At 54.0% G+C, this 13,208-nt stretch overlaps 1 protein-coding gene across 1 annotated transcript in view; it reads right to left on the reverse strand.

The window, feature by feature from the left end:
- Positions 1–12,810, reverse strand: part of SCUBE1 (signal peptide, CUB domain and EGF like domain containing 1) — a 146,093-nt gene extending 133,283 nt beyond the window's left edge. The window contains exons 1-2 of the mRNA NM_173050.5: positions 12,612–12,810; positions 8,542–8,673 (exon numbers count right to left, since the gene is read on the reverse strand). Coding sequence (NP_766638.2) covers positions 8,542–8,673; positions 12,612–12,699 — 220 coding nt within the window. The 5' untranslated portion in view covers positions 12,700–12,810. The remainder of the gene's footprint in view (positions 1–8,541; positions 8,674–12,611) is intronic.

Raw genomic sequence — 13,208 nt, forward strand, 5'->3', positions numbered from 1 at the left:
TTGACACAGAGTAGGTGCTCAGTGAACATTCTTGATACTCAACTGAATCCAGTCCAGTGCACACACATTTTACGGATGGGCAAACTGAGGCTCAGGGGTGAACTTGCCTCCAGTGTTTAAATGCAGTAGCATGAGCTTTTTATTTTTCCTCCTAAAAGTGGTCATTGGCTCCAAGAACTCTGTAAGAGGCCTAAACTCTGCAGCAGAGCTGGCAAGCAACATTGCCTAATTGCTAGCTGACAGCAACTTGGAATTTTAAGTTATATCCAATTTCTTCCTTCCTGCTGGTCTGCTTGGACTTGAGCACTTTCATCTTCGGCAGAGCACACGTTAGCATGCATAATTGCATGTTTTAAGACTTGAAGGAGAAGAATTTCCCCTTCTCTCCCCGCTGAGCCTCCCACCGCCTACTGCCTTTCCTGGCCTCCCAAAAAGCAGGATTTTATCTGGAGTTTCAATAAAGTGTGTAATAATGATGATGAAAATGATTTAATAAGGTCATGGACATTATTTCCTAAGAAGGCCAAATTGGTTTTAAGATTTTGTTTTTCTGATGTTAAACTAAATGGATCACTGAGTATGTTACTAGGAATTTTGTTAAAACATTTTAATAACATGCTCTGTAATCTACCTAACTTCAGTGATTGACAAGTAGACGCCGGGGATATAAAATTCAGGAAGTGATTATTTACATTCATTACATACATGCTAATTTTGTGATATCTGATGGCCATAAGGTTGTCATGTTTTTCCTTTTCACACAAAAAGAGGAACATAGCAATATATTTGATATACTGTGGCCCAAACAACAAAGTTATTTCCCCCAAGAGTTTTAATTATAGCATTTTGGAAAAGGCCCGAGTTGGAACTTGCAAGTGGAATAAACCACTTGAATAAATGGTTTAAAAAATTAAGTACACATAGAAGGGGTGATGTGTACTGTTGGTTCAGACTAAACAGTGATTATCAGGAGGGTCTTAGTTATTTAAACAAGCCATTTGAGGGCGGTTTGCTCCTCGTTTGGGGCCTGGTCCTGATTATAAACGAGAGCTTTTAATTAAGATTAGTAGGACCCAATTCAAGCTATAATTTGGTCCTTTTCCCTCGCAAATGTCTATGAAAACAAGGCAATTAAGGTTAAATGAGTTGAAGCATTTAAAGGGGGTGAAATGCCCCTTCCTCACCCCCAGCCTGCCCCCTCAGCAGAATAAGCACAAACAGGCCTGGTTAATTCGGACCAGGAGGCCAGTGTGGGACTGGCCTGGTGGCTTCTGAAAGGCCCATGCCCCAGGGGCCGGATGAGCCGGGGATGAACACGCTTAGTTAAACGGAGAGGCAAGAGGAAACGGGGTGTGCAAAGGTCCAGAGGTAGGAACAAGCTGGCAAGTTTGAGGAACTAAAAAAAGACAGTGAGGCTGGGTGGGGAGGGATGGATAAAAAATGGCCGGGTGCGGTGGCTCATGCCTATAATCCCAGCACTTTGGGAGGCTGAGGCAGGAGGATCACTTGAGGTCAGGAGTTCGAGACCAACCTGGCCAACATGGTGAAACCCCATCTCTACTAAAAATACAAAAAACTAGCTGGGCATGGTGGTGCGCACCTGTAGTCCCAGGTACTTGGGAGGCTGAGGTATGAGAATCCCTTGAAACTAGGAGGCGGAGGTTGCAGTGAGCCGAGATTGAGCCACTGAACTCCAGCCTGGTGACAAAGCAAGACTTCATCTCAAAAACAAACAGAAATAACAATAATAGCTCCCAACACAGCGAGGCCCCAACTCTAAAATAAATCAAAATAATAACGGTATCACAAATGGTAGCTTCCAGCCCCTCCCATTCCCAGGTCCTGTCTCAGACCAGCCAGCAGCAGCAAGGGAGCGAGTCCGTGTAGAAGCAGAGGGGCTGTACAGCTCCCTCGATCCCTCCATAGTGCAGGAGCCTCCCCTAATGCTTTCCCATGGGCTGATGGGGGCCTGGCCTGATGCTGGGACCCCTTGGCTGGTGGGGGACGAAACCCAGGCCCTGCTCCCTCTCAGCTGGGAGGCCTGGCTAGAGACAGACCTCTCTGGACCCAGTTTCCCCAGGCGAATTCTGCCATCGGTCCACACCAGTTATCCTCAGACTAGCTCTCTCTCTGTGCAAGCCTCTGCTTCCTCATCTGTAGAACGCTCAGAGTCTGTGAGGTTCTGGAGGCCTTCCTGGGTCCTCCCAGCATGGATAAGGGTCATTCACTGTCCACCGACACCAGCTCTGGGCCCAGCCCTGAGGGAAGTTACATGGGTCCTCACAACCTAGTGTGACAGGAGCACTGAGGGAGGATGTTCACAGCTGATAACTCCCCTGTCTGGGGGACCAGAGATGGCTTCCTGGAGGAGGTGACCCTGTCATCCAGCAAATGCCTTCCACACCCTGTGCCAGGCCCAGTCCCTAGCTTCCAGGGATGGGAGCTGACAGGTCCCAGATCCGGTCTTTGAGGAGCTCACATTCCAGGAGGAGACGTGGGAAAACCTAAGTGCAGTGTGGCATGGGCTAAAATGGTGGTGTGTATGGACCTGGGGTGAGCTGCAAAGAGGGGTGGCAGCTGTCACTCACGGGGACTGCCTCAACGCCCTTCGAAGTTTCTTCCAACTCCACACAGCCAGGACTTTGCCTCAAGGCACTTCAGATTCAATCAAGAAAACAGTGCTTTATCTCCAGCCCTGCTCAGAGCCTTTCCCGGCTGTCTGAGGCACTCACCTGTCTGGCTACAGCAAGCCCTCTACCGGCATTAGGCTGACCGCAGGGGGCCCCAGGCCACTCCTGGACACAGATGCAACATGTCTCCACATGTGGAGGCTATGCCATCATCACACATGTCCACTGGCCATAAGACAAGTTGCCCTTGAAGGTGGGAAGAGAAACTGTTCCCAGAATGGGGGGCAGGTGGCCTCCAGGGCTGGATTTGCTAACAGGGATTTCTCAAGCAGCAGAAGTTTCAAGGTGACCTGGTGAAGTGGGTAAGAGGCTCGGTCAGCCTCACATCGGGCTTCCCACAATCCAGGCTCGGGTTGTGAAAATGATAGAGAAAGTACATTTCGGGCACTGATTAGTTGGTAAAGACAAATCTTACAGTCCCTATGGGACAGCCAGTTAAAAGCAGGCAGTATCACCCAGCGGTCAAGAGGAGAGACCTTCGGAACTGCCGGTTTGGGGCTTAAATTCTAGCTCTCCTCTATCAACTGTGTAACCTTTGGCCAGTCACTTTACCTCTCCATGCCTCAGTTTCCTCACTTGAAAAATGGAAGGCATAGTCCCTATCTGGTAGGGTTCTTGAGAGGATTAAATGAGATCATGGACGTGGAACATGTAGCAGGGTGTCTGGAAGCAAACACTCAACATGGTGGTGAAGAACTGGGGAGAATGTGGCAGCCATGTCCTCGGGGCATGCTCTGCTGAGAGTCCATCCTTTATTCTTATCACAGCAAAGAGCACAGTCAGTGAGATCTGCAGGACAGGGGGCTCACTGCCTCCAAGACTCCAACCCCAGCCTTGGCAGAACCCTACTCCAGCTCAGGACCTGCAGATGCAGGAACCCAGGGAGGGAAAGCAAGTTTCATCTACTGCAAAAATGACTGGAGGGTGCGGTAATTGATTATTAATGTCTGCTATGGCAGAAGGTGATGGCATATTTGCCATCCCCGAAGTAGGCTTAGTTGAACAAAGGAAAGTCTTCTTTCCTAAGTGTTTCTTATTGTATGTTCTTGATAAGCAGCCATCTGTGAATGACACACCTGACTGTTCACCTCTGTGGGGATATAAGTATATGCATATGGTTTATATGAACAGTCGATGAACCAGAATACCTCATTTCCCAACCATTTTAGGTCCCAGGAATTGTTGGAAAAGACAAAGCTTTAGTTCTTTCACATCTTGAACAACACTGTGATCATTGACATCAACATAGTGACGATGATGATGATCAGATACATCATCATCATCTTCTTCAGCACCATCATCATCAATATCACCATCATCATCACCCTCATCAACAGCACCATAACAGCACCATCAACATTATCATCACCACCATCAACATTATCATCACCACCATCAACATTATCATCACCACCATCAACATTATCATCGCCATCAACATTATCATCACCCCCATCACCCTCATCATCAATAGCACCGTCATCATCATCACAGTAAGGGCAGCTAGTGCTTATATACAGCATCATATGTGCCAAGCTATGTTCAAAGGCTTTAAATACATTAACTCATTTAATTCTCACACTATCTGTATGAAATAAGTACTAACATTATGCCTATTTTATAGATAAACAAATGGAGGTTAAATGACTTGCCCAGGCTACACGGGCAGGATTTGAACCCAAGCCATCTGGCACCAAAGTCAATGCTTTAACTCCTAAGCTGACCTTAATAGAGGCTGTTAACACCCTCTTCTCAGAACAGAAAGCCACAGATAGGAATAACCACCTGCAGAAACACAGTGTGGAGAAACAGGTCTGTCAAACCTGGGCTCTAGTCCCCACCCAGGAAAGACCCTGCCCCCTCAGGCCTCCATTTTTCCATCTGTAAACCAAGGATGTGAACATCTGGATGGTTTCCCAGCTCCCTCAGGCCACTGCTGCACATGGTGCCCCTTCAGATTTCAGAGCCCCCAGTTGTCTCTCCATAGTCCTCCCAGAGAAGCCAGCAGGGATCTGATGGTTCTCCGTGTTTATGTGTTGGGGGTATGAGGTATATATGTGAGCACTCTGGCAGGCTGACTTGATTCAAATTGATGACTGTAAGTAGGTCCCCAGGGATGAGAAAACCAGAGTGCTAAAAGAACAGGGTCTACACAGGCCTCCAGAATCCATGCCAACACTCACTCACTGAGGGTTTAGGAAGCCCATAACCAAACGATGTCCTCCTTTTGGTTCCTAACAATTGTTCTCATACTGTTAACATGGCAACTCAACAGACACTGATTCATGACCCATGCTACCCTAAGTCTGTTATCAGGAATTTCCAGCTCATGCAGCCCCACCAGACCACAAGCTTCTGGAGACCAAGGACTATGTTGCACCATAACTATCACCTCCCAGGTATGCAGAACTGAGCAATTTTCAAAGGTCTTCACCATTCATAGTCTCATTTGAGCCTGAAACTACTTTGACAGCTAGTGAGAACAGGTGATGATGATGATGATGATGATGATGGTGATGATGATGGTGATGGTGATGGTGATGATGATGGTGATGATGATGATGATGGTGATGATGATGGTGATGATGATAATGATGATGGTGGTGATGATGGTGATGGTGATGATGGTGATGGTGATGTTGGTGGTGATGATAATGATGATGGTGATGATGGTGGTGATGATGATGGTGATGAAGATGATAATGATGATGGTGATGATGATGATGGTGATGATGATGATAATGATGATGGTGATAATGCAGATGATGATAATGACAGGATCATGGTGAAGACTTTGCCATCTGTATATGGAGCACACTCTACGGAATGAGTGCCTACTGTGTATTGGATGCCAGCCCCCAGTGCACTATACTGTGCCTCACTCAATCTTCAGGCTGACCTGTGATGGGGAGTATTTTTGGCCCGCACAACCAAAGGAGAAACTAAGGCTCAGTGAGGGCAAGTTACCACCCAGATGTTCACATGAGAGGTGGGTTGCAACCCAGGCTCCCCTCGAAGAGACCAGCCTTGTCTCTGCTTTCCTCTGTCTCATTGCACAGGGTCAAGATGACACCAGGGCCAGAACGAGCCCTTCCACAGACCCCACACTCCGCACTCCCCTCTGTGGATATCTTACAGGTTGCTCATCTAATGTGAAGTCCTGTCCGGGCAAAGGAGAGCCAACTCAGACTAAATGTTTTCTGCAGACCCGCGCTAGTGCCAGGCCCTGCCCCGTGAGCTGGGAACACGGCTACAAATGTAAAAGAACCTCTAATTGAGGAGCTCACTGGGAGCTCCTGGGGGCATGGCCTGAGTTTGACAGCTTCGGTATGGTGGCCCTTACAGCAAGCTTATGGTGGGCCCTCAATAAATGAGCTCACAGTTCTGTGGGGGACCAAGACAAGTAATTATGACCTAGAGTCAGAAGTGTGATGATGGAGGGAAGCCCAGAAGCCTCTGGGAGCAGGGTAGGTACCCATTGCAGTCTAGCATGCATGTGTGTGCACGTGTAAGTGTGTGTATATAAGTGGAGGTATCAGAGAAGGCTTCCTGGAGGAGGCAAACCTAAAGAATGATTAGCCTTCAGATTTAGACAGGATACAGAAAGAAGGTAAGGAGCTCCAGGCAGGCGGAAAATCTGAGCTGGGGCTCACAAACATAGAGCAACCAAGTGTGTGTGCATGCATGTGTGTCTGTGTGTATGTCTGTGTGTGTGTGTGTGTGTCTGTGTGTGCATGCATGTGCCAGGACAGAGGTGTTGTTCAGTGTTTCAGGATGTGAAGGGTGGAGGCCCGAATTTGGCTGGAGAGATAGGGAGACCCCTGGCAGTTCCCGAAGCACATTCACAAGCCTCCTCTTGTCTCATCTTCATACCCAGCAGGACAAAACAATTTCCTTTTCTAGCAGGTGAGAACATGAAGCCTACAGAGCCAGTGAGCAGCAGAGCTGGGCTTGGGACAAAAGTCTGACTCCTAACTCGGGGGTCAAGCAGAGTAAGGAGTTAAAGCTGAACTCCGAAAAATTTTAGGGAAACAGGTAAGGCCTCCCGGGCAGGGGACAGCAGGAGAGGGCCTAAGGAGGAGCTGGGCTTGGGAAGGAAGAGGCCAGGTCAGTGGCTTAAACCAGCAGAGATAGGGGGGTCAACCATGGCCCCGCCTTTCCGGGACACTGGGTCTGGAAGGCAGAGTAGAGGGTCAGAAAGCGGTCACACCAGCCTCACATGTACCACTCGAACCAGCGAGCTAACCTCTGGCCCTGCCAGCAGCCGGGCCAGCCGCCCCACCAGGCTTCTCACTCATGGCCTCCTCTGTGTGCCTCCAGCCTGGCCTCCTTCCAGAGGTCTGTGGGTAGGCGCCAGCTCCCCACTTTGGGTTCTGGGCCCTGAGCGTGCCAGGAATATTACCCAACCAGGCATGATCCAGGGCGATGTCATCTGCCCAGCACTCAGCCTTAAATAAATGCTCAACAAATGTGAAGGATAAACACCACCAGCATCCCAGGGAGGAGTGGCTGCATCGCCCACAAAACTCTAGCCCTGTAAACGCCTTATACAGAAAGAGCAGGGACCCATCCTGTGCTCCCATGTCACTTTCCTAATACAAATATCAAACTTGGAAAAATTCAGCTGGCAGGGCCCAGGGAGAAGAAAACTAGCTGCCAGAGTTGTTGAGTGGGAGTTACAAGACCTGGATTTCAGTCCTTGTCATATCACTGTGAACATGGGAATCTTGCAAAAGATGCTTCTCCTGTCTGAGCCTCAGCTTTCCTCATTTATACGATGGGTGCAGACAGGGAAGACTGGGATCAGTGATCCCATCCAGGGGTGTCTGTCTGTCTCGGAGAGAGCTATTTCCAGCCCCCAGATGCCCAGTCCTGCCCCAGACCCATGGGGTGAGGACGGCCATGCAGACTCTCATGGACAAAAGCTCCAAAGGTTCCAATGGGCTTGCAGAGTCCTGGCACCAAACACAGCCAGAGCTGCTCTTTTCTCTCTAACTTTTAGCCTGCTGGGGAGGCAGTTTTTAATAGCAGGAGGGCTAACCAGCACCCCAGGTGCAGGGCAGAAAGGCTGGAGAGACAGATGGCACAAATCCACCAGTGTCTGTCCAAGCACTGGAACTTGAGACAGAGACCTACAGGGTGGTTTTGAACTTGACGTTAGGGACTCTGGGGGTCGGGGGGCAAGCCCAGGTCTTTGCACTCCACCCCCATATAGCCAGTCAAGGACAGATGCACAAATACCTCATTCAATGCTTCATCTTAATTTCTTTTTCTTTCTTTTCTTTTTTTTTGAGACAGAGTCTTGCTCTGTCGCCCAAGCTGGAGTGCAGTGGCGCCATCTCGGCTCACTGCAACCTCTGCCTCCTGGGTTCAAGTGATTCTCCTGCCTCAGCTTCACGAGTAGCTGAGATTATAGGCATGCACCACCACGCTCGGCTAACTTTTTTTGTATTTGTTGTATTTTCAGTAGAGATGGGGTTTTGCCATGTTGGCCAGGCTGGTCTCAAACTCTTGACCTCAGGTAATCTGCCTGCCTCGGTCTCCCAAAGTGCTGGGATTACAGACGTGAGCCACCGCACCCAGCCAATTTCTTAAAAAGAACAAAAAGTTTCAAGCCCAGTTGAGAATCAGGCACCCCATGACTCTAACTCCACCCTTCCAGGGAAGCAGCCGGCATTTCCGAAAAGTTCACTGCCTCCCTCCTGAGGCTGAGAGAAGCCTGTGCTGTCAGCAACCACAATGGTGGTGCTGGAGGCTCAGCCCCAGCTGGTGATGAATGGGGCAGGCATCGGCCACCTACAGCAGCCCTGGCAGCCTCAGGGTCTGCCCGGGAGGGCCGGGCTGGACTCACCTTCACACTGCTTGCCTTCCCCCTTGTAGCCTGGCTTGCAGAGGCATTTGTAGGACTTGGGCGTGTTCTGACAGATGGCATCGATGTGGCAGTCATCTGTGCCCTCTGAGCACTCATCCACGTCGACTGACCCTGTGGGTAGGGGTGTGGGGGGAATAAGAGGTAAGGTGTGGCCCCAGGGCAGGTGGCCGATAGTGTAGGGCAGGGGGAGCTCTTGCCTTTGCCCGTCCATTGATCGGTGGGCTCATTGGCAATAACAGCTGTCACAGGACAATCTGGTGTGACAAGTGGCAACTGGTAGCATCTTTGGCGCAGCTACTCTGTGGCAGGGACAATGCTATCAATACGCTTGGCCTTATTTATTGTCGCAACCATCCCATTGAGCTATTGTTCTGCTAAAAAGATGAGAAAACTGAGGCTTAAGGAGACAGTGAGGAAGAACCTCCTCCTCCGTCTGTCCTACTCCCCCAACAAGCATCACTCCAGCCCTCCCCTACTCTCCTCACTCTATCCCCTACTCTCCTTACTCTATCCCCCCACAAGCATCACTCCAGCCCTCCCCCATTCTCCTCACTCTATCCCCCCACAAGCATTGCTCCAACCCTCCCCCACTCTCCTCATTCTACCCCCCACAAGCATAGCTCCAACCCTCCCCCCACTCTCCTCATTCTATCCCCCCACAAGCATTGCTTCAACCCTCCCCCACTCTCCTCATTCTATCCCCCCACAAGCATCACTCCAGCCCTCCCCTACTCTCCTCACTATCCCCCCACAAGCATCACTCCAACCCTCCCCTACTCTCCTCATTCTACCCCCCCAACAAGCATAGCTCCAACCCTCCCCCCACTCTCCTCATTCTACCCCCCCCAAAGCATAGCTCCAACCCTCCCCCCACTCTCCTCATTCTAGAATTTAGAGCCAGAAGGGTCCTTGGAGGAGTTTAAATCTAGTCCCTTTGGGTTCCAGATGGGGACACCAAGGCCATGCCAGGAGGCTCCTGCAGGTCACCTGAACGTGGGATCCCACCCTGCCCCTAGCCTGTGGAAACACGGGATTCATCATCTGGCTTCCACGCCCCCACACCAAAGTGTCTGGTGGCAGAACCACACCCTCAACTGGGCTAACCTGAGCCCATCCATGGTTCTGACTCCCCACATGGTCCTCCCTCCTCGGAAATCCACACGTGAACCTGGTTTTCATGTCCCAACTTATAAATGCAAGTTCAGTCTAGGCTTTGAGGGCTCCCGACACTCTCTACCTCCTGCCCCCAACACATATACACTTTCAGTCTGGAACAGCTGTTGGGGCAAATTGTGCAAAATAGATTCTGTGTATCCATTCCATCTATACACCCCAAGCCTCTCTCCTTGTCTCTTTTACACACACACACACACACACACACACACACACACACACACACACACACACAGAGTTCAGGCAGGGAGGGGACGTGCCTCTTGTCGGGCACAGTTCAGCACAGTCAGAGCTGTACCTATAATCCAGGTTGATTCCTCAGGTTATAGATGAGGAAATGAGGCCCAGTGAGGTGAAATCTGTTATGGGTCAGTAGCTCACTGGGGCTGAGACTGGACTCTGACACAGAATGAGCTTTCCTATGTGCCATGTGACTTCTAGCTAGCAATGCATGAAATGTAGACATGACAGACAGACAGAAGGACCCAGGAGTGCAGCAGTGCAAGGAACTCTCAGCAGCTGCCATGAGGGCAGTGCCCCAGGGGTAAGCTTGGAATGTCCCCATCTCTTCATGCCTCTGGTCTCACCTTAGATTGCTGGGTCCCCAAGAGTGTCCACTCTAAATTTCTCCCCTGGATAATATCTGGGTTCGAAATCTGCCAGTGGGGCCTATGAGATCCATGCCCCCCAGGGCTTCTCCTTCTTTGCCCTAGCCCCTAAGTCTCCTGCCCACCCCTGAAGGAAGAGAGGCATCAACAAGAAACACAACAGCATGACCCCCCTGCACACACACACACACACACATGCATGCACGTGTGCGCACACACACGGCAGGTGGCATTGCTTTCCGGGGGGGGCTACCCATCTGCTCAGGTGGGCGGCCTGTCCTAGACAGCTGCCCAGGGGAAGAGTGGAAAGGGGACAAGGAGGCAGGAACTGGAGGGGGCCCAGCCGGCAACTGGATGGCTGGGCCAGCAGGAACATCCATGAGGGCCTTCTGGGGAAGTGGCAACAGAGGGACACTGTGCAGGACTGGCACTGCCTCTAAGGCAGGGACCCAGAGGCCAGAGAGGGCCCATCTCCAGGCTTCTGTTTGGGAGGACTGGGGTCACTTATGAGACAGGACCAGCAGGGGCAGTGGGCCACAGATATGGCTCTTCCCACTTCCCAGGGGCCAGTATGTAGGAATGAGGGGTGGGAGCCCCTTGTGCCCTCACCCCTAATCTCCCACCTAGGCAGGTGTCTTCACTGGAATGGAAATGGATGGATGTTGATGAGGGGTGGGTGGAGCTATCTCCCAACACACCTTTAAACACTTGGGTGTCCTTGGTGTGGAGTGTGGGGAGAGGACATGGGAGTTTGAGGAGAGAGAGGGAGAAGCCACTTGTCCCCATCGGTTCTCTGCCATGCTCCCGCTCCTGTCTGGGCTGGAGACTCCCCTGCAGGGCGACCCAGCCCTCCTAGCACAGGCTGCTCCCTTTGACTCTGGTTTGCTTATGCTGGGGACATGCTGCTGGGGTTTCACAGTCACAGGGCTTCCACGGAGAGGGTCGTGGAGGAGACAGAGTCAGATACAGAGAGACACGAGGAGGGACACAGGTGGGGATAGGCACGCCCAGGAACAGTCACTCAGAGGTGAGGGACCCCAAAGCTTGGGAGAGACACCCACAGACACAAGGGGGATGATGGGGCAGCAGGGCTGGGCTTCCAGGAGGGGTGTTGCTGTGGAAGAGTCTCACAGGCCCAGCATCCTCACTCGGGGCACGCGGGACCACCAGGAATAGACCCTACGCCACCCATACCAGACCTCAGGAAGCCGGGAAGGACGTGCAGGACCCTCCCCCTGCCTCCCCCTCCAAGCAGAGCACCGGAGGAAGCGCCTCTGATGACGAGGAGGGGAGAATGTGACTCCAGCTTTTCGGGAAGCCCCTGAAGACAGAGAGCAGGAGGGGACCGGGTGGGAGGGTGGGGGGGTCCCCGTGAAACCCACGGGCCTGGGCCTGTGGCCTCCGGGTCTCCCCCTCCCCTTCCTGGGTCTGCTCCACCGACGTCCCGCGTCCGGACTCTCCTCCCTGTGTCTGTCCTCCGGATCCTCTGCCTTCCTTCCCTCTGTCTTTCCTCCCCGTCCTGTCAGACGGTCCCGGTCCCTCGTCTGCGGCTTTCCAGGTATCTCTGTCCCTCTCTCTTTCCCGGTCTCCCTCTCACCGCCCCCCCCAACCCCGTTTTTCTGCGGCGTCCATCTGTCCCCCGTCTCCTCCTCTCTCTCTCCCTTATCATCGGTGGGACCATCCCTCTTGATTCCCCCTGATCCACCGGCCTCCTCCTCCTTCCCCGGGCGGTGCGGGCCTCCTCTCTACCCTTCCGCATCTGTCTTTTCTCCGGGCTTCCTTTTGTCTGCTCCCTCGGCGCCGGCTCTTCTGTCCGTCTGTCCCGCACCTCCCGCCCCGTCCCGGTCTCTCGGTCCGTCCCTTTCCCCGTCCACCTCCTGGCGTGTCCCCCTCCGCCCGCCCCGCCCCGCGCCCCCTCTCCCAGGAGGAGCGCCCCTCTGCGCTCGGGGTCCCGCCCCGCCCAGGTCCGCACGCGGGGTCCCCGGGAACCGCCGCCTTTCTTCCTCGCTCCCGCGCTCGCGCTTCCCCTCCCGGGGCCCCGGCCCACCCACCCCTGGTGCGGCCCCGCCGGACTCAGGAGCCCCGGCCGCCCGGGCTGCGGGGAGGGGGCGCCCCGGGCCGGCCCTAGAAGTTACTTTGCAAAGAGGCAGGGGGCGCGGGGCCGCGCGGGGCGAGCTCGGGATCCGCGGGGAAGAAGCCCTCCGGGACCGCGCCTCGGCCGCCCGAGCCCCCCGCGCCCGCCGCCCCCCACCTCGGTCGGGGGCTTACCTGGGAGCCCGCTGCCCCCGGCCAGCCGCCCGCGTGTGCCCAGGGCCAGCAGCACGCACAAGTGCCAGCGCACGGCCGCCGCGCCCATGCTCAATGCGGGCCCCGCTGGGCGTGCGGGCGTGCGGGGCGCGGGGACCCGACCGACCGGCCGCTCCCGCAGGCGCTGCTCGCTGCTCGCCGCTCCGCCACCGCTCGGGCTCCCGAGCCGCCCAGCCAGCCCGGCTGATGAGCTGACAGCGCGCGCTCATTGGCCCGTGGCGTCGGAGGGGCGGGGCGTCGCCCAGGGCCGGCCAATGGGCGCCGGCCTCCGGCCCTCCGAGGAAGAGGGGGGCTCGGGCGTCGTCGGGGGGACCCTTCCCCTGGGGCGGGCGGCAGGTGGGGGGTGTGGGCCTGGCCGGCCGGCTCGCTAGGCGCGGGGTCTAGGCCAGGCTGGGGCTGCTTGGAGGCTGCGCCCTCCCCTGCCCGCGGCGCCCCGGCCCCCGCCGTCGAGAGTGGACGCCCCTCTGGGGTAACCCCTCCCGGCCCAGAGGCAGCCTCGGGGGCGGGGATCCTGCGAACCGGGGATCCCGTGAGGTCGCCCGCCATCCGTGGGCAGTG

This window comes from Homo sapiens, chromosome 22 (genome assembly GCF_000001405.40).
Source record: "Homo sapiens chromosome 22, GRCh38.p14 Primary Assembly".
In the NCBI taxonomy this organism is placed as follows: Eukaryota; Metazoa; Chordata; class Mammalia; order Primates; family Hominidae; genus Homo; species Homo sapiens.